At 43.0% G+C, this 27,873-nt stretch overlaps 2 long non-coding RNA genes and 1 pseudogene across 3 annotated transcripts in view, besides 2 other annotated features; 2 read left to right on the top strand and 1 right to left on the bottom strand.

Annotated features, from left to right (window-relative positions):
- SNX18P17 (sorting nexin 18 pseudogene 17) overlaps window positions 1-397 on the top strand; it is a 950-nt pseudogene extending 553 nt beyond the window's left edge.
- LOC107987401 (uncharacterized) overlaps window positions 1-7,285 on the top strand; it is a 27,734-nt gene extending 20,449 nt beyond the window's left edge. The window contains exon 4 of one of the 2 annotated variants that reach the window (XR_007068559.1): window positions 7,248-7,285. This is a non-coding gene — a long non-coding RNA (uncharacterized LOC107987401). Of the gene's footprint in view, window positions 1-3,296; window positions 3,337-7,247 lie in introns of those variants that run through there. The other variant, XR_007068562.1, reaches the window with a different exon arrangement.
- LOC105379566 (endogenous retrovirus group K member 18 Pol protein) overlaps window positions 1-27,873 on the bottom strand; it is a 61,897-nt gene that overhangs the window by 22,213 nt on the left and 11,811 nt on the right. The window lies entirely within an intron of this gene.
- Window positions 24,853-25,354: an enhancer, noted in NCBI's record as "H3K4me1 hESC enhancer chr1:142876177-142876678 (GRCh37/hg19 assembly coordinates)". NCBI's record gives its function as "activates a minimal SCP1, AML or CMV promoter by ChIP-STARR-seq in primed H9 embryonic stem cells {active_cell/tissue: H9 hESC(primed)}" and the evidence as "EXISTENCE:reporter gene assay evidence [ECO:0000049][PMID:30033119]".
- Window positions 25,355-25,854: an enhancer, noted in NCBI's record as "H3K4me1 hESC enhancer chr1:142876679-142877178 (GRCh37/hg19 assembly coordinates)". NCBI's record gives its function as "activates a minimal SCP1, AML or CMV promoter by ChIP-STARR-seq in primed H9 embryonic stem cells {active_cell/tissue: H9 hESC(primed)}" and the evidence as "EXISTENCE:reporter gene assay evidence [ECO:0000049][PMID:30033119]".

The following is a 27,873-nucleotide window of genomic DNA, read 5'->3' on the forward strand; positions in this document are numbered from 1 at the left end:
CAGACAACATGTGGCAGAAGGGAAGACAGAGGTGCAGAGGCTGATGGAGTCATTATCACAGGAACAGGATTTCTTTGGCCACTTTGGCTGAAATTCACCACTTCCATCCAATTCACTCAAGTGAGAGACTTGAAATCACAGATGGAGCATTTCTTGCAACAAGAGATACTATTTTTTCAAAAAGTCACCTAAAATTTGATAGTGTTGAATGACTAGCTATTCGAGTGTGGACTTTTTCCAGTTCACGGGTACTTTCTACAGCAGAATGATAACAGTATCAAAGAGCTGGTGCCAGCTATCGGTGGTAGTACAAGGATGACTTTGTGCTCAACTGAAACCCAGCTGAATATAGAATTGTGTACGAAAGTGTTAATATGGTGATAGAATAGAAACAGTAGCAAATGAACTAAATCATACTATGAATGCCTACACTACCATTATAACTTTTTGAAGAATGATAATACCACTTACTTTATTGCCTTTTGAAGTAGGAATATTTTAGTGGATATCGTATAGATCTGAAACCCTATAAAGAATCCCAAAGAAGCTGGCTGGATAAAGCCTGCTATGGATGTCTTTATACTCAAAGACTGATGAGGCAATTCGAATATGTGTCCCTGTGTCCCCACCAAATCTCTTGTTGAATTATGCTTCCTAATGTTGGAGGTGGATCCTGGTATAAGGTGATTGAATCATGAAGGCAAATTTCTCATGAGTGGTTCAGCACCATCCCCTTGGTACTGTCCTCACAATCATGAGTGACTTCTCGTGAGATCTGGCCACTGAAAACTCTATATCACTCCCTACTCTCCGTGATTTCCTCTTGCCATGTGAGACAATTCACTCTTTCATTACCTTGCACAATGATTGAAAGATTTCTGAGGCCCCCCAGAAGCAGAAGCACTAAGCTTCCTGTCCACTCTGCAGAACCATGAGCCAATTAAACCTCTTTTTCAAGATAAATCTTACCAAAAATGGCAAATGAGGACTGGAGCACTGCTATAAAGATACCTAAAAATGTGAAAGCAACTTCGGAACTGGGTAATGGGTAGAGGTTGGAAGAGTTTGGAGGGCTCCAAAGAAGACAGGCAGATGAGAACATTTTTGGATCATCTTAGAGACTGGTTAAATGGCTGTGACAAGAATGCTGACAAAAACATGGACAGTGAAGGCCAGGCTGAGGGGGCCTCAGATAAAAATAAGAAGCTTTCTGGAAAATGTCTCTCTTTTGGATATGGAAAGCTTACACAATGCCTGTACCATCATTGTACCTTAGACGCAGTGAACTTGCTTTTTATTTCAGAGACTTGTAGGCAAAAGAGAATGTAGCCTTGACCCAGATGAGACTTTGCACTTTGTAACTTTGAGTTAATGCTGAAATGAGTTAAGACTTTAGGAGACTGCTGGCAAGGCATGACTGTATCTTGCAATGTGAGAAGGACATGAGATTTGTGGGGTCAGGGACAGAATAATACGGTTTTTCTCTATGCCCCTTCCAAAGCTCATGTGAAAGTACACTCCCTAATGTTAGAGTCGGGGCCTAGGTGGAAAAAGCTTTAATCATAAAGGAGTGGGAGTGGATCCTTCACAAATGGCAAAGCGCCAAGCCCTTAATGCCATCCTCCTGATAGTGAGTGAGTTCTCATGAGATCTAGTAGTTTAAAAGGCTGTGGAACCTCTTTCCTCTCTCTGTCTTGTTCCAACTTCTGCCATATGAAACATGTCATTGCCGCTTGGATTTCCAGTGTGGTTAGGAGGGGCCTGATCAGTGTGGGCCTGGTCAGTGGACCTAGGTCAGTGAGGACTATTTAGTGGGATAGTGGTCAGCAGGGGTCTGCTTAGAGAGGGTCTCATTAGTGGGGTCTAGTAGTGGGGGTTTTGGTGAGTGGGGACCTATTGGCTGCCAGTTGTTTGGTGTCTGGTCAGTGCAAACCTGGGCTGTGGGGCTTGATCAGTGGAGACCTGGTCAGCTGGGGCTTAGTGCTGGCCTGGTCAGCATGGGCTGGGGCACTGGTGACCAGGTCAAGGGGTGCTATTCAGTGGAGGACTGGGCACATGAGACTTAGTCAGCAGACCCTGGTGGGCGTGTCCTCATCAGTGAGGCCCTTGTCAGTGGGGCCCTGGTCAGGGCAGCCTTGTCGGTGGGACCTAATCTGTATTGTCCTGGTCAGAGAGGACTTGGTCAGTGGTGACTTTTGTAGCACCGGTCTACAGGGTGACCTGGTCAGCGGGGATCTCAGCATTTGGTGCCGGTTCAGTGGGGTCTACTCACTAGGGTCCCAGTCAGGGGCATCTGGTGACATAAGGCCTCGTTATTAGGGGCCTGATCAGTGGCAACCTGTTCCCTGGAGGCCTGGTCAGTGGGGCCTCATCTTTGGGCCAGGGAATGAGTTCATGATCAGTGGAACCTGATCAGTGAGGCCTTGTCAATAATGACCTAGTCAGTGAGGACTTGTCAGTAAAGACTTGGTCCGTGAGGCCCTGTCAGTGAGTCCTTGTCAGTAAGGTCCTGGTCAGTGGAGTCCTTGTCATTGTGTGCCCGGCAGTGGGGGCCTTGTTACTGGGGCCTGATCATGAGAGTCTAATCAGTGAGGGTGTCATCAGGGAGGACCTGATGTGTGGGGTCTGGTCAGCAGGGACCTGGTCAATGTGGGCTGCTGAGCACTGCTTGGATAAGCCAGGTGCATTGTGCATTATTGAAGGCCCTGTGGACAGCTGGGATAGCCCAGTGATGCCCAAGGGCCTAGTCAAAAGTGGACAAAGCACGTATTTGGATGGACCTGGGAGATCCTGCTCAGAGATTCTGACAGGACAAAGGTAAAGGAAGGGCCAGAGTGGCTGGAGAGATGGTCACAGTCTATGGGCTGCACAGGATGGAGGAGGCCGGGGAACAGGCAGGGTGGGCAGTTGGGGTTCAGGGAGAGGCAGGTGCATGCTGGGAGGTCAGACCCTGTGAGGGCTTTGGGGGCGTCAGGTTGGGTAGGCTCAAGGCACTCTCACTCACATAGGATTCCAGACCACTGCTACAAGGCTCTGAGTGTTTGTCCCTCACATAAGATTCCAGAACACTGCTGCCATTGTCTGAATGTTTGTCCTCCACATAGGATTCCAGAAGTCTGCTGCTGGGGTCTGAATGTTTGTCCCCCATCTAGGATTCCAGAACACTGCTGCGAGGGTCTGAATGTATGTCCCTCACATATGATTCTAGAACATTGATGCTAGGGTCTGTATGTTTGCCCTTAACATATGATTTCAAAACACTGCTCCTGGATTCTGAATGTTTGTCCTTCTCATAGGAATACAGAACACTGCTGCTGGAGTCTGAATGTTTGTCACTCACATAGAATTCCAGAACACTGCTGCGAGGATCTGAATGTTTGACCCTCACATGGGATTCCAGAACACTGCTGCGAGGGTCTAAATGTCTGTCCCTCACATAGGTTTCCAGCACAATGTTACGAGGTTCTGAATGTTTGTCCCTAACATAGGATTCCAGAGCACTCCTGCTGTGCTCTGAATGCTTCTCCCTCACATAGGATTCCAGAACACTGCTATGAGGGTCTGAATGCTTATAACTCATATAGGATTCCAGAACACTCCTGCTGTGGTCTGAATGTTTGTTCCTCACATAGGATTCCAGAACACTCCTGCCGTGGTCTGAATGTTTGTCCCTCACATAGGATTCCAGAACATTCATGCTGGGGTCTCAATGTTTCCCTTAACATAGGATTTCAGAACACTGCTCTTGGGGTCTGAATGTTTGTCCCTCACATAGGATTACAGAACACTGCTGCTGGAGTCTGAATGTTTGTCAGTCACATAGAATTCCAGAACACTGCTACAAGGGTGTGAATATTTTTCCCTCACCTAGTATTCCAGAACACTGTTGCAAGGGTCTGCATGTTGGTCCGTCATATAGGATTCCAGAACACTGCTGCTGTGGTCTGAATGTTTGTCCCTCACATAAAATTCTGGAACACTGCTACAAGGGTCTGAATGTTTGTCCTTCACATACCATTCCAGAACACTGCTGCCGTGGTCTGAATGTATGTCCCTCACATAGGATTCCAGAACACTGCTACTAGGTTCTGAATGTTTTTCCCACACCTAGGATTCCAGAACACTTCTGCTGGTGTCTGAATGGTTGTCCCTCACATATGATTCCAGGACACTGCTATGAGAGTCTTAATGTTTGTCCTTCACATAGAATTCCAGAACACTGCTCCCGTGGTCTGAATGTTTGTCCCTCACATAGCATTCCAGAACACTGCTACAAGGGTTTGAAAGTTTGTCCCTCACATAGGATTCCACAACACTACTGCTGTGGTCTGAATGTTTGGCCCTCACATAGGATTCTAGAACACTCCAGCTGGCTTCTGAGTGTTTGTCCCTCACATAGGATTCCTGAAGACTGCTGCTGTCGCTATAGTCGTTGAGAGTGTCTGAATGTTTGACCTTCACCAAACACCAAATATCCTGGCCCTTTAGTCTTGTACTTTCCAGCCTCCAGATCTGTGAACAATAATCTCTGTTGTTTATGAATTACTCAGTCTGAAGTATTTTGTTATAGTAGCCTAAAGAGACTAAGAGAGCATCACCTGCCCTGTCACCTCATCACCGCATTACTGAAGCTATACTAACAACAGTCACTTTTAGTGGGTACTTCATGCATCAGAATAAAGGGAAAAAATTGCAAGGCATACTAAAATCCAAAAAAAGAAAAAAATACAATTTGTGTCAACAGAGCAAGCTTCAGAAGCAGACAAAGATATGATCTTGGAATTTTTTTTTAAACCTCTGGAGAATATGCTAAGGGCCTAATGAATGAAGTAGACAGTATTCAAGTGTAGATGGGTAATGTAATGAGAAAGACAGACATCGTAAGAACTTTCAACATAATGTAGTGATGAAAAACGTGGTAAATAACTGAAGAATACCTCTGATGGCTTATTAGTAGACTGGACTCAGCTGAGTAAAAATCTCTGAGCTTGAGGATTTATCATCAGAAACTTCGAAAACTAAAGAAAAGAAACACTGAAAAGAACAGAAGATGATATTCAAGACTGTGGGACAACTACAAAAGGTGAAACAGTAATGAGAATACCAAGAGGAGAAGAAATAGAAGAAAGTTCTGCAACAACCATGTCTGAGAACTTCCAGTATTAATGTCAGACACCAAACCAAAGATCCAGGAAGCTCTGAGAACACCAGGCAGAATAAATACCAACAACCTACACTTGGACATATAATTTTCAAACTATATGAAATAAAAGATAAAGGAAAACTCTGAAAGAAACCAGAGGTGGGGCAGAAAACACCTTACCTACAGAGACACAAAGATAAGAACTGCATTCAACATTTCAGAAACTGTGAAAGTAAGAAGACAGTGAAATGAAAAATTCAAAATGTTGACAGAAAAAACCCACCAACCTAAGTTTCTGTACCCACTGAAACCACCCTTCAAAAGTGAAGGAGAATTAAGGCCTTCCTCAGAAAAATAAAAATTCAAGAAACTTGTTGCCAGGAGACCTGTCTTGCAAGAAATGTTAAATGAAATTCTTTAGGGAAACAAAAGATATATAACTGAAACCTGGATCAACATTTTTTTAAAAAGAACATTAAAGAAAGAATTGTGGTACAATAAAAACCTATGTATTTATTCTTAATTGATCTAACCAAGAAGATCATAGACAATAACAAATACAGATATATTATGTATGCTTATATACAATTGAAATGAGTAACACTAATACAAGGAATGGAATGGAAGGATGGTAGGGAGGCATTGTGGTACAATAAAAACATGTATTTATTCATAGTTGATCTGACCAATAAGTTTGTAGATAATAATAAATACACACAGATAGATTATGCATGCTTATACACAAGTGAAATAAGGAACAATAATACAAGGAATGGAATGGAAGGATGGGAGGGAGGAATCAGGTGTTTTCTTTGTTAAGCAGGTAGTCACCCGTGAAGTGGGATAGTGTTATCTGAAAGTGGACTTGAATTGGTTGTAAATGTATATTGAGGAATTAGGTGTGTTCTTTGTTAAGCAGGTAGTCTTATTTGTGGGATAGTGGGATAGTGTTATTTGAAAGTGGACTTGAATTGGTTGTAAATGTTACTGAGGAATTAGGTGTTTTGTTTGTTAAGCAGGTAGTCTTATTTGTGGGATAGTTGGATAGTGTTATTTGAAAGTGGACTTGAATTGGTTGTAAATGTATATTGCAAATTCTGTGGCAACTAGTTAAAAAAAAGTTTTAAAAAGAGAAGTATGTACTAAGAAAGACAGGGAAAATGGAGTCATCTAAAATCATCAATGAAAACTGCAAAAGGCAGAAAAAGAGTGGTAGACAAAAGAATGAAGACTGAGGAGAATGAATAGAAAACAGTAACAAATATAGTAGATATTAATCCAATGATATCAATAATCACTTTGAATGTTAATGGTATGAATGTACCAATTCAAAGGTAGAGATTGTCAGAGTCTATCAAAAGACAGACACATCTTGTTTCACTGCACTTTGCTTTATTGTGTTTTGTGACCATGTGTTTTACGTATTGAAGGTTTGTGGCCACCCTGCAATAAGCAGGTCTCACTGGCACCATTGTTCCTACAGCACGTGCTCACTTCACGTCTCTGTGTCACATTTCGGTCATTCTCACAGTATTTTAAGATTTTTATTATTGAATCTGTTGTGGTGATCTGTAATCAGTAATCTTTAATGCTACTGTTGTCATTGTTTTGGGAACCACAAATCACACCAGGATAAGACAGCAAACAATTGACAAATGCGTTTGTTCTGACTGCCCAACCAACGGGCCATTTCTCTTTCTCTTTTTCTCAGGCTTCTTTTTATTAATATTAAAATGTGGCCAATTAATAACCCTACAATAGCCTCTATATGTTCATGAAAGAAGAGTTGCATGTCTGTCACTTTAAACCAAAAGGAAGAAATAATTAAGCTTAGTGAGGAAGGCATGCTGTAAGCAAGACAGGCCAGTAGCTAGACCTCATGCAACAAACACTTAGCCAAGTTGTGAATGCAAACGAAGTGTTCTGGAAAGAAATTTAAAGTACTGCTCCAGTGAACACATGAATGATAAAAAGCTAAACAATCTTGCTGCTGTTATGAAGAAAGTTTAATTGGTCTAGATAGAAGATGAAAAAAAAACAAAAAACATTCCATTAAGCCTAAGCCTAACTCTCTTTTTACTTTTTTTTCTTTTTTTTGAGACAGAGTTTCATTCTTCTTGCCCAAGCTGGAGTGCAATGGCGTGATCTTGGCTCATCGCAACCTCTGCCTCCCAAGTTCAAGCCATTCTCCTGCCTCAGCATCCCAAGTAGCTGGGATTACAGGCAAGCACCACCACACCTGGCTATTTTTTTGTATTTTTAGTAGAGACGGGGTTTCTCCACATTGGTCAGACTGGTGTCGAACTCCCGACCTCAGGTGATCTGCCCGCCTCGGCCTCCCAAAGTGCTAGGATTACAGGTGTGACAGCCACCGCACCCGGCCTCTCTTCAATTCTATGAAGACTTAGAGTGGTGAGGCAGCTGCAGAAGGAAAGTCTGAAGCTAGAAGAGCTTGTTTCTTGAGGTTTAAGGAAAAAAGTCATCTCCATAACATAAAAGCGCAAGATAAAGCAGCAAGTACTGATGGAAAAGCTGCAGAAAGCTATCTAGAAGATAACTGATTAAGATGGCAACACTAAATAGATTTGCAATGGAGACAAAACAGCCTTCTACTAGAAGGAGATGCCATCTAGGATGTTCCCAGCTAGAGAGGAGTTGATGCCTGGCTTTAAGGCTTCAAAGGACATGCTGACTCTTTTGTTAAAGGCTAATGCAGTTGGTGATGTTAACTTGAAACCAATGATGATTTACTATTCTGAAAATCCAAGGGCCCTGAAGAATTATGATAAAACACAGCTCTGTCTGTACTCTACAAATGGGAACAAAGCCTGGATGACAGACTATCGGCTTACAAATATGGTTTACTGAATATCTGAAGCCCACTGTTGACACCTACTGCTCAAGAAATAAGATTCCTTTCAAAGTATTACCGCTCACTGACAATGCCCCTGGTACTCAAGGGCTTTTACAGAGATGTACAAAGAGCTGAATATTGTTTTCATGCCTACTAACCCAACATTCATTCTGGTGCCCTTGGATCAAAGAATAATTTCAACTTTCAAGTCTTATCACTTAAAAATATATTTCATAAAGCTATAACTTCTCTAGAAAGTGATTCCTTTGATGGATCTGGGCAAAATAATTGAAAACCTACTGGAAAGGATTCACCATTCTAGATGTCATTGAGAACATTCATGATTTAAAAAATAAGATCAAAATAGCAACATTAGGAGAAGTTGGGGCCGGGCGTGGTGGCTCACACTTGTAATCCCAGCATGTTGGCAGGCCAAGGCACGTGGGTCACGAGGTCAGGAATTTGAGACCAGCCTGGCCAACATAGTGAAATCCTGTCTGTACTAAAAACACACAAAAAATTAGCTGGGCCTGGTCGGGGGTGACTGTAATCCCAAACACTTGGGAGGCTGAGGCAGAATTGCTTGAACCTGGGAGGTGGAGGTTGCAGTGAGCTGGGATCGCATCACTGCACTCCAGCCCAGGCAAGACTTCATCTCAAAAAAAAAAAAAGAGAGAGAGAGAGAGAGAAGTTGGGAAGATTATTCCAACCCTCACAGATGACACAGGGGTTCACGACTTCTGTGGAGGAGGTAACTGCAGATATGGTGGAAATAACAAGAGCACTAGAATCAGAGACAGAGCCTGAAGATCTGGCGAGACTGCAGCAGCCTCCGGAGAAAACGTGAGTGGATGAGTTGCTTCCAAGGATGAGCAAAGAAAGTGGTTTCTTGAGATGAAATCTACTCGTGGTGAAGACAGTGTAAACAATGTTGAGATGACAACAGATTTAGAATAAACTTAGTTGGTACAGCAGAAGGAGGGCTTGACAGGATTGACACAATGATTTACAATAATACATAAACTTAGTTGGTACAGCTGTACGAAGGTTTGACAGGATTGAATCCAATTTGAAAGTTCTACTGTGGGTAAAAAGCTATCAAACAACATCGTATGCTACAGATAATTCTTTTGTGAAAGGGAGTCAATTGACACAGCAAACTTCAATGGTGTCTTATTTTAAGAAATTGCCACAGCCACCCCAACGCTCAGCAACCACCACCTTACATTAAGGCAAGACCCTCCATCAGCAAGAAGACTGAAACTTGGCCAGGTGCAGTGGCTCACACCTGTCATCCCAACACCTTGGGAGGCCAAGGTGGGTAGATTGCTTGAGCCCAGGAAGTCAAGGCAACATGGCAAAACCCCATCTCTACAAAAAAAAAAATACAAAAATTAGCTGGTCATGGTGGCATGTATCTGTAGTTCCAGCTAGTCAGGAGTCTGAGGTGGGGGTTTGATTGAGCATGAGGTTGAGACTGCAATTACTCTAGCCTGAGCCACAGAGTAAAACCCTGTCACGCACACAAAAAAAGATTGCAGCTTTCTGAAGGCTCAGATGACTGTTAGCACTTGTTAACAATAAAGTATTTGTAAATTAAAGTGTGAACACTTTGTAGACATATGCTATTGCACACTTTATACAGCACAGTATAAACATACTTTTACATGCACTGGAAAACCAAAAGAAATTGTATAACTCACTTTATTGCAGTGGTCTGGAACCAAACCCACATATATCTCTGATGCATGGCCGTCCTGTATTGTACACTTAAAATAAAACTTAAGAGGGTATCTTTTAGGTGAAATGGTCATCTCATTTTTTTTTTTGAGACGGAGTCTCACTCTGTTGCCCAGGCTGGAGTGCAGTGGCACGATCTCAGCTCACTGCAAGCTCTGCCTCCCGAGTTCATACCACTATCCTGCCTCAGTCTCCCAAGTAGCTGGGACTACAGGTGCCCGCCATCACGCCCAGCTAATTTTCTGTATTTTTAGTAGAAACGGGGTTTCACTGTGTTAGCCAGGATGGTCTTGATCTCCTGACCTCGTGATCCACCCGCCTCGGCCTCGCAAAATGCTGGGATTACAGGCGTGAGCCACCACTCCCGGTCTCATTTTTTAAAAAGGGTCAGAATGAGAAATATATGGGGAGTGATGGTCAAGTTTACGGCATTATTTGTTGTGATGAGTCCTGGGGCGAATACTTATCTCTAAACTCATTAAGATGTATATATTCGGTGTCACACACCTGTAATCCCAGCACTTTGGGAGACCAAGGCAGGTGGATCATCTGAGGTCAGGAGTTCGAGACCAGCCTGGCCAACATGGTGAAACCCTGTCTGTACTAAAAAAATACAAAAATTAGCCGGGTGTCGGGGCGCACGCCTGCGATCCCAGCTACTCAGGAGGCTGAGGCAGGAGAATTGCTTGAACCCGGGAGGTGGAGGTTGCAGCTAGCTGAGATCGTGTCACTGCACTCCAGCCTGGGCAACAAGAGTAAAACCTCCGTAACACACACACACACACACACACACACACACACACACACAAAGGTATATATTAAATATGTGTAATTTTTGTATGTCAACCACACCTTAGTTTTATTTTATTTTATTTTATTTGAGACAGAGTCTCGCTCTGTCACCCAGGCTGGAGTCCAGTGGTGCAATCTCAGCTCACTGCAAGCTCCACCTCCCAGGTTCACACCATTCTCCTGCCTCAACTTCCGGAGTAGCTGGAACTACAGGCACCCGCCACCACGTCCGGCTAATTTTTTGTATTTTTAGTAGAGATGGCATTTCACCGTGTTAGCCCGGATGGTCTCGATCTCCTGACGTGATCTGCCTGCCTCAGCTTCCCAAAATGCTGCGATTACAGGTGTGAGCCACCGTGCCCAGACAATTTTTTTTTGAGTCAGAGTCTCACTCTGTCACCAAGGCTGGAGTGCAGTGGCACTATCTTGGCTCACTGCAACCTCTGCCTCCCATGTTCAAGCAATTCTGCTGCCTCAGTCTCCTGAGTAGCTGGGACTACAGATGCATGCTATCACGCCTGGCTAATTTTTTGATTTTTAATAGAGATGAGGTTTCACCATGTTGGCCAGGCTGGTCTCAAACTCCTGACCTCATGTGATCTGCCCACCTCAGCCTCCCAAAGTGCTGGGATTACAGGTGTAAGCCACTGCACCCGGCAATTTTTAAATATATATAATTAAAAATTAATTAAAAAAGGTATTTGCAAGTTTCCGTTTTGTTATATACTTATTATTCTTTATCTTTATGTCAGGTTGCTGTGTCAATACACTTAGGAGATCATAGTTTCTAAATTGAAATACAAATAAATATGTCTCAAATTTTTTCTTTTTTCTTTTTTTTTTTGAGATGGACTCATTCTGTCACCCAGGCTGGAGTGCAGTGGTGCAATCTCAGCTCACTGCAACCTCCGCCTCCCAGATTCAAGTGATTCTCCTGCCTCAGCCTCCAGAGTAGCTGGGATTACAGGCACCCGCCATGACACTCAGCTAGCTTTTATATATTTTTTTTCTATTTTTAGTAAAGACAGGGTTTCACCATGTTGGCCAGGCTGGTCTCCAACTCCTGACCTCAGATGATCCTCCCACCTCGGCCTCCTCAAGTGCTGGGACTACAGGTGTGAGCCACTGTGCCTGGCATGGAATTTTTTTCTAAAATTTACATTTCTGAGTTAAGAATGCTTAAAATATTATAAAAACAGAAGCACAATTCATTATGTGTTTCATTAATTACCTCTATTGAAAACAACACAATTATATTACAATAGGACAAAAAAAAATGTTTAAGCAAATGAAAACAAAACCATGACATACCCAAACTCAGGAGGAGGCAACAAAGGCAGTGCTAAAGGGAAGCTTACAGCCGCAGATGCTTAAATTAAAAAGAAGAAAGATCTCAAAGCCATGCTAAAGGGAAGCTTATAGCTGCAGGTGATCAAATTAAAAAGAAGAAAGATCTCAAATCAATAACCTAACATTACACCTAAAGGGAAAAAAAAAAAAAAACTAATGACAAACCAAGCAAAAGGAAGAAAATAACAGATTAGAACAGAGATAAGCAGAATAAGACCAGAAAAAAAGGAAAAAAAAAACCACTGAGTTTGTTTTTTTAAAGATCAATAAAAATTTTAAAACTCACAGCTATATTAAGAAAAAAAGAGAAATCTCAAATACTAAAATCATAAATAAAAGAAGTGACAGTACAACAGATTCCACAGAAATGAAAAAGATTACAAGAGACTAATGTAAGCAACCATATGCCACAGAACTGGGCAACCTAGAAAAATTTATAAATTCCTAGAAACACAAACCACCATACTGCATCATGGAGAAATAAAAAATCCAAAGAGACCTGTAACTAGTAAGAAGATTCAACCAGTAATCAAAAACCCCCCAAAAAAGAAAATTCCAGGTCCAGATAACTTCACTGGAAAATTTTACCAAACATTTCAAGAAGAATTAATGCCAGCCCTTTGCAAAATATTCCAAAAATGTTCAAAAACCAGAAGGGGACATTCCAATCCATTCTATCAGGTCAACATTTATCTGGTTCCAGAGCCAGATGAACACCTTTTGTAATAAAAACACTCAAAGAATTAGTAATATATGGAAACTCCTCAGTAAATAAAGATTGTACATGAAAAGCTCACAGCTAACATCATACTGAATGGTGAAAAACTAAAATCTTTTCCTCTAGGATCAGGAATAAGATAGCAACATCTTTTCCTGCCACTTCTATTCACCACAGTACTGGAATTTCTACTCAGAATAATTAGGCAAGAGAAAGTAATAAAAAGCATGCAAATTGGAAAGGAAAAAGTACAAAATTTTGTTCACAGACAACATGATGTAATGTGTAAAAATCCTGAAATTCCACAAAATACTGGTAGAATAATGAAATTCAACAAAGTTTCAGGATACAGTAACACACACAAGTCAGTTCCATTTCTATAAACTAACAATGAACAATCTGCAAATAAAATTTTAAAAAGAGGCCAGGTGCAGTGGCTCACAGTTGTAATCCCAGCACTTTGGAAGGCCAAGGCGGGTGGACCACCTGAGGTCAGGAGTTCGTGACCAGCTGGGTCAACCCCATCTCTAATATAAATAGTAAAACTCTATCGCTATTAAAAATACAAAAATTAGCTGGGCATAGTGGCAGACACCTGTAGTCCCAGCTACTTGGGAGGCTGAGGCAGGAGAATTGCTTGAACTTGGAAGGTGGAGGTTGCAGTCAGCTGAGACTGTGCCACTGTGCTCCAGCTTAGGAAACAGAGTGAGACACCGTCTCAAAAAAAAAGAAAGAAAGGAAAGAAAGAGAGAGAAAGAAAAGAAAAGAAAGAGAAAACAAAAGAAAAGAAATTTTTAAAAAGAATGACATTTGGCTGGGTGCAGTGGTTCATGCCTGCAATCCCAGCAGTTTGGGAGGCCGAGGTGGGCAGATCACCTGAGGTCACAAGTTCAAGAATAGCCTGGTCAACATGGAGAAACACTGTCTCTACTAAAAATACCAAAAAGTTAGCTGGGCATGGTGGCGCGCACCTGTGATCCCAGGTACTTGAGAGGCTGAGGTTGGAGAATCGCTTGAATAAGGAAGGTGCAGGTTGCAGTGACCTGAGATAGTGCCACTGCACTCCAGCCTGGGAGACAGAGCAAGACTCCATCTCAAAAAAAAAAAAATTATATTTACAACAGCATTATAAAAATTAGAAATAAGCTTAACCAAGAGGGCAAAAGATTTGAACACAGAAAACTACAAAACACTGTTAAAAGAAATTAAACACAAATAAATGAAAAGAAAAGCTGGGTTTGCAAATTAGATGATTTCATCTTGAAATGATGTCAACACTACTCGAAGTGACCTAGATTCAATACAATCCTTATAAAGATTCCAATGACATTTTTGATAAACAGAAAAACCTATCCTAAAACTCATATGGAATCTCCAGGGCCCATGAATAGGCAAATCAATCTTGAAACAGAACAAAATTAAAGGTCTCAAAGCAATTACAAAACTGCAATAAGCCAAAAAAAAAATGTGGTCATGGCATAAAGACACTCTTGACACACTTATGGACCAACACAACAGAGACCTCAGAAACCAACCCTGGCATATATGGTCCGATGATCTTCCAGAAGGATGCCAAGACCACTCAATGGAAAAGCACAGTTTCTTCAACAAGTGGTGATGGGAAAATTGTATAACTACATGCAAAACAATGAAGTTGGACTCTTACCTTACACCACGTTAAAATCAATTCAAAGTGAATTATAAACCTAAATGTAAAACTAGAACTATCAAACTCCTAGGGAAAACAAATTTGGAAAATGCTTTATGACGATGAATTTGTCAATAATTTTTAGGATATGACATTAAAAGCTCAGGCAGTAAAAGCAAAAATATATCAAACCTAAAAACTTCTGTACCTCAAAGGTCACAACCAACAGGGTAAAAGGCAAACTGTAAAATAAAAAAAAATACCAGTTGAGTGTCCCTTATTTGAAATGCTTGGGATGTGTTTCAGATTTTGTAATATTTGCATTATTCTTACTGGTTGAGCATCTCGAATTCAAACACCTGAGTCTGAGATGCTCCAATAAGCATTTCCTTTGAGTGTCATGTTGGCACTCAAAAAGTTTCAGACTTTGGAGCATTTGGGATTTCAGATTTTTGGATCAGAGACATTCAACCTATAGTTGCACATCATGTATCTCATAAGAAGTGAACATTCAGAATGCGTAAAGAACTCCTACAGAGAGACTACCAGAAGCAGAGAGGAGCAAACACATTTTCACACTAGGGAACCTGCTATCTCTCCTGGATTCCAATTAGGGCAGAGTAAGTGCTTGTTCTCTGCCAATCCAGGATTAGGCCCTGCAGCTGCAGTGAAAATAATCACAGAAGAAAACTAAGAAATAAAAAATGGAGAAAGTGAGACATCAAACTAGAATTACTAGAAACCCCCAGGAAGAAGGAAAAAAAATCCAAGAAAACAGAAAAACAATCAAACCAGTTAATTAAACCTTGGTGTGACCAGAAGATCAGGGTTTCCTAAAGGAGTGGAAATTTATTGACTTGAAGGCGATTTATTGATTACTGATTTGAAGAGGAAGAAAACCATGAATGGTCTAAAGCAAAAGCCTAGTGTCTGAAGAAGTCAGTAGGGTGAAAACAAGAGCTGGCCAGAATGTCCACAGATGGTGACAAGTTTGCAAAGCCTTTACTAGACTACTTGTGAAGCTAACTAGAGGCCAAGGAGCCAACACTGCCCCTGTCCTTACAGAGAGACCCTACACAGGATTCCCAGATATACATGGAAGGACAACATCTTATCAGGTCCTCTCTGTTCAGATGTGGTTATCATTCCAAATAATGAGCTCCAGCCCCAAGACTGTTCCATCCTCAATTGCTTTGAGTGGGCAATGTAGGCTCTCCACACACGAGCTACATGTAGGTTCCTTGGGTACCCAGATGGGAGCCGTGAAACATAAACCCTCCATGGTCAGGTCAGTATCTGTTTCCTGCCTTTTTCCCAGCAATCCCCAGGCCTCAGCAGCAGTGGTCTACCTCTGCTGATTCTCATTCAGAATCTAAACTTAGAAACAATTAGAACCTAGACCCGAATTCTACCTGAAAGTAACAGAATAACATAATCTATACCCTGCAGCATGACTGTTTGCCCAACGTAATGAGGATGAACTGAGAGATAATGAATGATCATGACCCTGGCCCAAGTAACAAGAATGAACTGTGAGATAAATGAATGCTCATGACCAAAAAACCCAGCTACAACACAACAAAATAAAGTGATTAAAAAATGGACAAAGAACATTCATCCAAAGATGCAAAGATGATATACAAATAGCCAACAGATACATGAGATATATGAGAAGATGTGTAACTTCACTAATCATTAGAGAAATGCAAATAGAAACCACAATGGGACATCACTTCAAACCCAACAGAAAGTAACAAGTGCAGGTGAAACTGAAACACTTGAACACTGTTGGTGGAAATATTAACTGGCTCCTCAAAAAAATAAAATAAAATGACCATATGATCCAGCCATCCAACTTCTACAGAGACAGAATAACTAGTAGCAGGACCTCAAACAGATATGTGCACACCTGTGTTCACAGGAGCATTACATAGCCACGAGGTGGAAGAAACCAAAACGTCCATCCAGGAATAGATGGATAAACAAAAGAATATACATATATATATATAGAGAGAGAAAATATATATATATGAAGAAATATTATTCAGCCATAGAAAGGAAGAAAATCCTGACACATCTGCACATAACATGGAACCTACTTAAAAAACAAATATTATATAACCCTAGGTATATAAGCCAAATTTTTAGAAACACAAAGTAGAATAGTACTTGCCAGGAGGTGGAAGGAAGGGGAAATTAATAGTTGTTGAATGGGTATAGAGTTTTCTAAGATAAAAAAAAATCTAGAAATCTGCTACACAACAATGTAAATATTCTTAACTCTACAAAACTGTATACTTACAACTGGTTATGATGGTAAATTTTAAGGTATGTGTTTGTTACCAAAATTCGAAATTATAAATTATTTATAAAAAATGATCTTTTTTGACACACAGTCTTACTCTGTTGCCCTGGCAGGAGTGGAATGGCATGATCACAGCTCATTGCAGCCTCAACCTCCCAGGCTCAAGCAACCCTCCCACCTCAGCCTCCCAAATAGTTAGGACTACAGGTGCACACCAAGATGTCAGGCTAAATTTTGGTTTGGTTTTTTGTAGAGAGGGTTTTGCCATGTTGCCCAGGCTGGTCTCAAACTCCTGGGTTCAAGCAATCCACCTCCCTTGGACTCCCACAGAGCTGAGATTATGAGCATAAGCCAACATGCCCAGCCTATAAAAAATTATTTCCAAAAGCCAAAAGATTAATCAAACTGGAATATTTAGAAATATTTAACCCAAAAGAAGTTAGGAAAGAATATATAGAAGATCAAAAGACAGACGAAGGCCAGGCATGGTGGCTCATGCCTGTAATCTGAACACTTTGGGAGGCCAAGGTGGGTAGATTGCTTGAGCTCAGTAGTTCAAGACCAGCCTGTGCAACATGGCAAAACCCTATCTCTACAAAAATATAAAAATTAGCCAGGTGTGGTGCCATGCACCTGTAGTCCCAGCTACTCAGGGGGCTCAAGTGAGGATTGGTTGGGCCTGGGAGGCAGAGGTTGCAGTGAGCCAAGATTGCACCATTGCACTACAGTCTGGGTGACAGAACAAGACCCTGTCTTAAAAAAAATAAACAAACAAATAGAAAATAAGTAGAAAAATGGCAGACCTAAATCCAACCTTAGCAATGATTAGTTACAATGTAAGTGGACAAATACTCTACTTAAGACAGAGACTGCCAGACCTGAGAGGAAGGCAAGACCCAACAATATGGCATCCACAGAGACACAATTTAAACACAAAGACACAAAGTATGAGAAAAAATATGCTATGCAGATTAAACATAAAAATATGCTATCCAGACACTAATCATAAAAAGCTTCAACAGAGATGTTAACACTAGATGAAAGAGGCTTCAGAACAAAATATATCACCAGAAATAAACAGGGTAATTTAATAAAAATAAAAGAATCAGAGAGGATGATGTTACAATTATAAATTGTGCCTCAAAGTGCACACAAACTACACACACACACACAGAGCCTCAAAGTATGTGAATCAAAAACAACAGAACAAAAGCAGGAAATTGACAATCCAAAATTATAGCTGGTGAATTAATACTGCTCTCTCAGTAACTGACGGAACAACCAGATAAAAATATAGGAAAAATACGGATCTAAATGACAAAATCCTGACCCAAATGGTACTTGGCAGTGCCAAGATAGACTGTATGTCGATGGATTGAGAAAAGGTTCAAGCCTGAAATAGTATACAAAGGATGTTGTCTGAACACTTGAAATTAAATTAGAAACCAACAACAAATTGATATCCAGAAAAGCCTCAAATGTCTGAAAACCAAGTAATAAACTTTGAAATACCCTGTGAGTCAAAAAAGTATTCACAAGGGGAACTGGAATGTATTTGGAATAAACTTGTTATAAAAATCTCATTTCTGGTAGACTAAAGGTGACAAATTCTTTCCTGCTCCTCTCTCTGTGAGAACCAATTCCCCTTAAACCTTGACCAGACTACAGACTTATTTGGCCAACAGAAGGTGACAAAGCTGGTATTTGGGGACTTCAGAAGCCAGGCTGAGAAAACAGAACACTTACCCAGGAGAAAGCCAGTCACCAGGCAGGAAATCCCACTCCCCTGAGACCTCATGATGGAAACCACAAGGCCAGTCCATGACTAGCTACACGCATTGACATCCCCCACTGAGCCTCCAGCAACACCGACTCCCAACAACTAGTGAGCCTCCAGCAACATCCACTCCCAACCACTAGTGAGCCACCCTGCACACCACCCCACTGTGCTTTCACACAATCCAGCTTGGCTGCAACTGTGTGTGAGATGAGCTGGCCACCAAGACTCTCTAAGCCAAAAAACAAGTAATAATGAGTTGTTTTACTTCAGAATAGATAACTGGAACAGAATATGGCAGCTGGAAATGAGCTGCTGTGGTAATCAGAAGCTACAATATGTGACACGACTGTGAGGCTGACCTGTAACTGGGCCTCAAGGAGACCATTCATGCAACCTGGAAGGGCATCAAGACTCTTGGTCAGGGCCTGAAGGACGGTGAGAAAATGTCATTGGAAACTGGAGAAAAGGTCTGAGAGTTACTTGCTGAGGGACTGTGGGAAAACTATGGCCACAACATGGAAACTGAAAGGGCACTGCACCATCTCAGGGATCTGCCTAAGGAGACATCTGGGAAGAACATGGAAAGTGCTACCAGCCTCCCCTAACTGTCACTGAATAAATATGACAGGAGAGGGACATGATCTAAAGAAGAAGGTTCAGTTTTCAAACAGAATTTAGAGAAAATATAAAGAAATAATTTCTTGTCTCAAAAGGCCAAAGTAAAAAAAAAGAAAAGAAAAGAAAAGGAAAAAAATGAAAAAGAAGCCATTGAATACCCTATTGACCATAAGAAAAAGGCAGGGAAAGCTGGTCAACGGCAACCCAGGCACTGAAGGAAAAAGAACATGGAGAATGACAAAAGCCCAGAGGGAGGAGTAAAAGGACACAAACACCATTCTCAGGGACCAGGACTGGGCACCGTTTTCAGGGACCAGGACTGGGCACTAATCACAGAACTGTAACAGGCGCCCCATGGGAATGACCAACTGTTAGACGGGGCCTGCAGGGCAGTACTTCCCTCTTGCCTCCCACCAAAGCTTCTAAAGGGAAATGTCGACTGTTTTCACAGCAGTCCCCTCACTGCGGCTGAGTTTGTGGGCTCAGATGATAGCTCACAACAACCTGATTCAGTCCCCACTGTGGCTGTGTGTGGGGGGTCAGATGACAGGCCACCACAACCTGATTCAGTCCTCACTGCAGCTGAGTGTGTGTGGGTGCAGATGACAAGCCACCACAACCTGATTCAGGATTCAGTTGGGCTACTAGCCAGTGCCATAAGGAAAACCATTCTGGGGCTCTTTAGAGGGGCAAAGCATAATTTGCATGTGGGAGAAACGTTAATAGTTTGTGGCCAGAGGACAAGCTGTGGTTTATTAAAGACTGCTGCAGGTTCCTACTATGCTTCTCATCAAGAGGTGGAATCTAATCACCTTTCCCCCTTGAATCATGGCTGGTCTCAGTGATGAGTACAACTGGACAGTGTGGCAGGAGAGATGCTCTGGGACTTCTGAGGGATGATCATGAGAGACCTTACAGCTTCTGCCTGGGCCTCTTGGACACACACCCTGGGAGAAGCCAGACAAACCTGACTACCTGATGCTACCAGACTGGAAGGAAGTCCGTGCTGGCCACAAAGAGAGGGCTGGGTGCCTGCTCCATGTTCCCAGCCACTAGAGTCCTTCTGGGTGCCTGCTTCACATCTCCAGCCACTAGAGTCCTTCCAGATGAGACCAGGGACATCATGAAGCAACCAACCCACACCGCTCTGTCCAGTGTCTTGACCCAGAAAATTGTGACATGTAAAAAGAATAAATTCCTGGTTTAAGCCAGTAAGGTTACGGGTACATTGTTACATCTCAGATAATTAAAACCTTGAAAAACTCATGAGAGATCACAAGTAGAACCTTGATCTGAAACATGGCATGTGGCGATTTATATTGAGTATTAGGTTAAAAATGCAAGAATGGAGCATAGTTAATATTTTACATTAAAGCTAAAACCATAATTGCCTACTTAAAATTTTCAGTTAATTAGGTTGTCACTTTTTGTTCTTAACCAAGAAATCAACTAGTTTTAGTCCATAAACAGTTAGAACTGATGCACACATCCGTTTTTCCTTACTCATTTTAAACAGCTATCTGAAATAGGAAGTGTAATGTAATCTTTAAAGAATCTGAAAACATGACAGAAATGTTTAAACTATAAACATATATTGTATATGTTAGCATATTGTATACATTGCATATTAACATAAGCTAGAATCATTGACATAAATTTATATAAACAAAAGGTATAAAATATGATAATGTTCTTCTTGTTTTTTGTCTTTGCATATTTCTTTATTGGCCCTTGTCAAACGTGACCCACTAACTCCTGAATGCTTTGTCTCTCCCCATGGATTCCTAAGGATGTCACCACAGTGTTGGCCAGATGCACAGGTCACAGGGGACTGAAACTCATCACCCCACAAACATACCATTCAGGTTTTGCCAAGAATGACACTGTAAATGTAACAAAGCTTCTGTGCTTGTTAGTGAACACCAACTCAGCTCCTCTCCTGTATTCAGAAATCAGGATGAGATGAAAACAACAAGCAGGCCAGGCACGGTGGCTCAGGCCTGTAATCCCAGCACTTTGGGAGGCCGAGGTGGGCAGATCACCTGAGGTCGGGAGCTCGAGACCACCCTGATCAAAACAGAGAAACCCCATCTCTACTAAAAATACAAAATTAGCCAGGCGTGGTGGCAAACGCCTGTAATACCAGCTACTCAGGAGCTGAGGCAGGAGAACTGCGTGAACCCGGGAGGTGGAGGCTGCAGTGAGCCGGGATCACACCACTGCACTCTAGCCTGGGCAACAAGAGTGAAACTCTGTCTCAAAAGAAAAAAAATTAAAAATAAAAGAACAAGGAAACAAAAGTAACAAGGCTTGACACCAGATGAGCCTGAATCTAAGCAAGAAAAGCCCAGAAAAAATCCCATTTTGGGTCACTGGCTGCATGGTAGTAATACCATACACATAAGGGAAGAGAGGAGGATGTGGCTTTCACTTTGAATTTTTTTAGCTTAAGGTAACATTTGCGTAGCTACAAATAAGAATTCAACAGAGAGTTAAACCTATGATGGAAAGATTGAAGGGGTCCAAGCTGTAGAGAAACAGGACTGCAAACCACAAAGAGCAGAATCAGTCAAGGAGAGCTGCAGGGCGGGATGAACAGGGACCAATGGAACATTTGGACAAGCTGTTGAGAAGAAAGGAAAATTCAGAGAAAAAGAACTGTCAGTGAGGTAATAATAGGAACTGTTACAGTGAACTAAATATGGCCTGGGAAGGACTCTGTACTTCTAGATTTGAGTCCCTGTGGACAAACTGCAACCTAACTTAATAGGTAGAAAGACTGATAACCTAACTTTGGAGTATGCACCTGTAACTATAGCTGAGTCCTGGCCAATCCCAACAGCCAAACTTCTGCCACTCACACACTACTGAGTGTTCAGCTGTGTTCAAATAAGGCAAATGCTGAGCACTGTAACCAGTCCAGTTGTTTCTGGACCTCACTGCTGAGAACTGTAACGGACCCAGTTGCTTCTGGACCTCACTCCTCACTTCAGATTTCTGTACATCACGTTCCCTTTATTGTCTATAAATCTTCCACCATGTAGCTGTGCTGGAGTCTCACCGAATCTGCTGTGATTCTGGGGGCTGCCTGATTCGTGAATCATTCATTGCTCAATTAAGTTCCTTTAAATTTAATTCAGCTGAAGATTTTCTTTTAATAGATGGTGTCAGAAGTGGGATCTGTGGGAGCAGGACTGCTAGGGCCTCCGGAGCTATAGTGTGGTGAGCAGTGTTGCTAGGGCTTCTAATGACCCTCAGGAGTGCTGAGGTACAAGAAAGGCACCTGCAAGGACCGCTCTATGATGGCAGCAGTGGCCCATGTGGAGCAGTTGCTACAGAGACACTGGCTGCAGTGGGGAGGAGTGGCTGGGGCTGTGAACTCCTCAAAGTTAGTGGGAGCCAGGAACAGGTGAGAGACCCACCCCTTCTAAATTGGCAGGCAGGAGCCCCACCCTCCCAGGCACAGCTGCAGCCATCCACCCATGACAGCAAGCCCGGGCATCTTTGCACTCTCAGAGGCCCAGCAAGCCCCCCTGCCCCCGTAGGCCCAGTCATACCTGCTCCCACCACCTGGCATGTCTCCGCTCCCAGAGCCCACTCCAACTTCGGATCCAAATTGAGGTTGAACCCAGGCACAGTCGCAACCCAGCCCAGTTTGTGCAAGCTCAGGGCAGTGCTGACATGCCAGCCCCCTGCCACCTCGGCCCCCTCCACACTTTGGGAACGGATGAGCACAGGAGGGACGTTGAGGTGGGGCTAAGAGTGGCTCAGCACTGGCTTGAAGGCACTCCTCAGCTCGAAAAGCCTGGGCACTGTGGGCATAGCTAACCACCATGCATCTCTCTCAGCTGCTGAGAGCTGAACAGACATTGGGATGACCTGCCTGCTGAAAGGAGCTACCCACTGCACGTCTCCTCTGAGCTGTACTGTTGCTCAATAAAGCACCTCTTCACCTTGCTCACCTTCTACTTGCCCACATACCTCATTCTTCCTGGACTCAGGACAAGAACTTGGGACCTGCCAACTAGCAGGGCTGAAAGAGGTGTAACATAAACAGGGCTGAAATGCACCCCTTGCTTGCCAAATTGCAGGCAAGAAGAAGAGAAGAGAGAAGGAGAGAAGAGCTGTGGCCCTTCAGGGAGCCCAGACCTAGGAGCTCCCCAAGCCAGGGCTGTGACACCTTATTTGGGGCTCTGCAGTTCCTGCATCTCGAAGCTTCCAGGCACCGCTGCATTCCCTGATACCCACAGTGGAAGCTGTTTGCAGTCAGCCTGGTCCAGCTGCAGCCTCACAGGGAGCTGGCACCTGTGGCGGTGCCTGGAGCTGCCCACCCCACTGCAGCTGGCATGCTTGGCTGTGTGCAGTGGCCAGATCCCATGCTCGCTTGCTCACACACCCTTCACTGCTCTGTACCCAGCTCACCCTTGGCAGGTGTGGGATCCAGACCACTAGCATGAGCCAAGTGGACAGAACGAACCCAGTGGGCCCGAGCAAAACACAGGTAAAGGCGCCACCAGCCAGAGGTTTCAGGCAGAAAAGTGACGCCTCAGGATTCTGTAACACTTGTGCCCTTTGACCTCTCAGAGCATCTGGGGATCGTGGTAAATTCTCTCTCGGATTTCAGAGCTCCATGAATTTGTGTTTTGAGCTGAGTTTCTCTGAGCAAATTTCTGTTCCAAACTGCTATCCAGCCATGACTGGCTGGATGTTTTAGAAGTTATGACAGAAACGGGACCGGGTCCAGGATCAGATTTGATCCAGTAATTAACTGGCTTGAATCCAGTTCCAGTTAGAGGCCTCCTACATCTGAATGGGTCAGAAGGAAAGTGGTAGTAAATGATAATATTGGAGGGTTGTAAAATTTGGCTTTTGGAAATTCACGGGGATTTTTGTGTTCTGCCCCTTTGTTTCATTTTCCTCACACGCTTAGGTAGGAAAAAAAATCATTGGCTAAGTCAATCAAGGGAACCTGAGAGTAAAGCCAATATATTAGGTAAAAATAGGATCCTTAATTTCTGGAAAACTAAGTTCTTTCTGGCTAATTCATTAGGCCTGGGAAGCAGCAAAGTCTTACAGAAATGGCAAAATCTTACTAAAGATAACTTATAGTGTAACATTCCAAATGAATAATGCCCTGAAGTGCATTTAAAAATGATGGCTCCCAAATTAGTCTCATCTAGGGATGCCTATTAACATGCAGAAGCTTCTAAAAAGATTTAGAGATGGCATGGCCTATCTGGGAGCAAGTTTGAGTCTTACCAGTTTGACACTGGGTGCTAAGCAAAGTGGCTCGTGTCTATGTTTTGTCACATATATTTTGCTCTGAGCAGAATGAAAAATGTTAATTTGGTTACTCCAAGCAACCCCTTGGGCAGCATCTTGCAAAGCTAAGTGGATTCTTCCTGTGGCTCCATGATTTCCATTGTGATGCAGCTTGGCCCCCAGAGCTATAATGTGGTGAGGAGGGTGACAGAGCAAGACGCTATCTTTAAAAAAAAATGGCCCGGGGCAGTGGCTCACAGCTGTAATCTCAACACTTGGGGAGGCCGAGGCAGGTGGATCACATGAGGTCAGGAGTTCAAGGCCAGCCTGACCAACAAGGAAAAACCCCGTCTCTACTAAAAACACAAAATTAGCTGGGCATGGTGGGGCATGCCTCTAATCCCAGCTACTCAGGAGGCTGGGGCCGGAGAATCACTTGAACCTGGGAGGCAGGGGGTTGCAGTAAACCGAGATCGCACCATTGCACTCCAGCCTGGGCAACAAGAGGGAAAATCCATCTCAAAAAAGAAAAGAATAATAGATTTGCCTGTAAGGTTTTATGAAAAAGTGGGTGACATTTGGCTTTCTCTCTTTAAAGAAGATTTTCAGAAAATATTAAAAAATAATGGGAGGAGGAGCCAAGATGGCCGAATAGGAACAGCTCCGGTCTACAGCTCCCAGCATGAGCGATGCAGAAGATGGGTGATTTCTGCATTTCCATTTGAGGTACTGGGTTCATCTCACTAGGGAGTGCCAGACAGTGGGTGCAGGACAGTGGGTGAAGTGCACTGTGCACTAGCCAAAGCAGGGCAAGGCATTGCCTCACTCGGGAAGTGCAAGGGGTCAGGAAGTTAGTTCCCTTTCCTGGTCAAGGAAAGGGGTGACAGATGGCACCTGGAAAATCGGGCCACTGCCACCCTAATACTGAGCTTTTCTGACGGGCTTAGGAAATGGCACACCACGAGATTATATCCCGCTCCTGGCTCAGAAGGTCCTATGCCCATGGAGTCTCGATGATTGCTAACACAGCAGTCTGAGATCAAACTGCAAGGCAGCAGCGAGGCTGGGGGAGGGGCACCGGCCATTGCCCAGGCTCTCTTAGGTAAACAAAGCAGCCTGGAAGCTCGAACTGGGTGGAGCCCACCACAGCTCAAGGAGGCCTGCCTGCCTCTGCAGGCTCCACCTCTGGGGGCAGGACACAGACAAACAAAAAGACAGCAGTAACCTCTGCAGACTTAAATGTCCCTGTCTGACAGCTTTGAGGAGAGCAGTGGTTCTCCCAGCACACAGCTGGAGATCTGAGAATGGGCAGACTGCCTCCTCAAGTGGGTCCCTGACCCCTGACCCCCGAGCAGCCTAACTGGGAGGCGCCCCCTAGCAGGGGCAGACTGACACCTCACACGACCAGGTACTCCTCTGAGACAAAACTTCCAGAGGAACGATCAGACAGCAGCATTCGCGGATCATGAAAATCCACGGTTTTGCAGACACCACTGCTGATACCCAGGCAAACAGGGTCGGGAATGGGCCTCTAGAAAACTCCAACAGACCTGAAACTGAGGGTACTGTCTGTTAGAAGGAAAACTAAAAAACAGAAAGGACATCCACACCAAGAACCCATGTGTACATCACCATCATCAAAGACCAAAAGTAGATAAAACCACAAAGATGGGGAAAAAACAGAACAGAAAAACTGGAAACTCTAAAAAGCAGAGCGCCTCTCCTCCTCCAAAGGAATGCAGTTCCTCACCAGCAACGGAACAAAGCTGGATGGAGAATGATTTTGACGAGCTGAGAGAAGGCTTCAGATGATCAAATTACTCTGAGCTATGGCAGGACATTCAAACCAAAGGCAAAGTTGAAAACTTTGAAAAAAATTTAGAAGAATGTATAACTAGAATAACCAATAGAGAGAATTTCTTAAAGGAGCTGATGGAGCTGAAAACGAAGGCTCGAGAACTACGTGAAGAATGCAGAAGCCTCAGGAGCCGATGCGATCAACTGGAAGAAAGGGTATCAGCGATGGAAGATGAAATGAATGAAATGAAATGAGAAGGGAAGTTTAGAGAAAAAAGAATAAAAAGAAATGAGCAAAGCCTCCAAGAAATATGGGACTATGTGAAAAGACCAAATCTACATCTGATTGGTGTACCTGAAAGTGATAGGGAGAATGGAACCAAGTTGGAAAACACTGCAGGACATTATCCAGGAGAACTTCCCCAATCTAGCAAGGCAGGCCAACATTCAGATTCAGAAAATACAGAGAACGCCACAAAGATACTCCTCGAGAAGAGCAACTCCAAGACACATAATTGTCAGATTCACCAAAGTTGAAATGAAGGAAAAAATGTTAAGGGCAGCCAGAGAGAAAGGTCGGGTTACCCTCAAAGGGAAGCCCATCAGACTAACGGCGGATCTCTCAGCAGAAACCCTACAAGCCAGAAGAGAGTGGGGGCCAATATTCAACATTCTTAAAGAAAAGAATTTTCAACCCAGAATTTCATATCCAGCCAAGCTAAGCTTCATAAGCAAAGGAGAAATAAAATACTTTACAGACAAGCAAATGCTGAGAGATTTTGTCACGACCAGGCCTGCCTTACAAGAGCTCCTGAAGGAAGCACTAAACATGGAAAGGATCAACTGGTACCAGCCGCTGCAAAATCATGCCAAAATGTAAACACCGTCGAGACTAGGAAGAAACTGCATTAACTAACGAGCAAAATAACCAGCTAACATCATAATGACAGGATCAAATTCACACATAACAATATTAACTTTAAATGTAAATGGACTAAATGCTCCAATTAAAAGACACAGACTGGCAAATTGGATAAAGAGTCAAGAACCATCAGTGTGCTGTATTCAGGAAACTCATCTCACGTGCAGAGACACACATAGGTTCAAAATAAAAGGATGGAGGAAGATCTACCAAGCAAATGGAAAACAAAAAAAGGCAGGGGTTGTAATCCTAGTCTCTGATAAAACAGACTTTAAACCAAGAAAGATCAAAAGAGACAAAGAAGGCCATTACATAATGGTAAAGGGATCAATTCAACAAGAAGAGCTAACTATCCTAAATATATATGCACCCAATACAGGAGCATGCAGATTCATAAAGCAAGTCCTGAGTGACCTACAAAGAGACTTAGACTCCCACACATTAATAATGGGAGACTTTAACACCCCACTGTCAACATTAGACAGATCAACAAGACAGGAAGTCAAAAAGCAAACCCAGGAATTGAACTCAGCTCTGCACCAAGCGGACCTAACAGACATCTCCAGAACTTTCCACCCCAAATCAACAGAATATACATGTTTTCAGCACCACACCACACCTATTCCAAAATTGACCACATACTTGGAAGTAAAGTTCTCCTCAGCAAATGTAAAAGAACAGAAATTATAAGAAACTATCTCTCAGATGACAGTGCAATCAAACTAGAACTCAGGATTAAGAATCTCACTCAAAACTGCTCAACTACATGGAAACTGAACAACCTGCTCCTGAATGACTACTGGGTACATAAGGAAATGAAGGCAGAAATAAAGATATTCTTTGAAACCAATGAGAACAAAGACACAACATACCAGAATCTCTGGGACGCATTCAAAGCACTGTGTAGAGGGAAATTTATAGCACTAAATGCCCACAAGGGAAAA

Source organism: Homo sapiens, unplaced genomic scaffold (genome assembly GCF_000001405.40).
Source record: "Homo sapiens unplaced genomic scaffold, GRCh38.p14 Primary Assembly HSCHRUN_RANDOM_CTG42".
Taxonomy (NCBI): domain Eukaryota; kingdom Metazoa; phylum Chordata; class Mammalia; order Primates; family Hominidae; genus Homo; species Homo sapiens.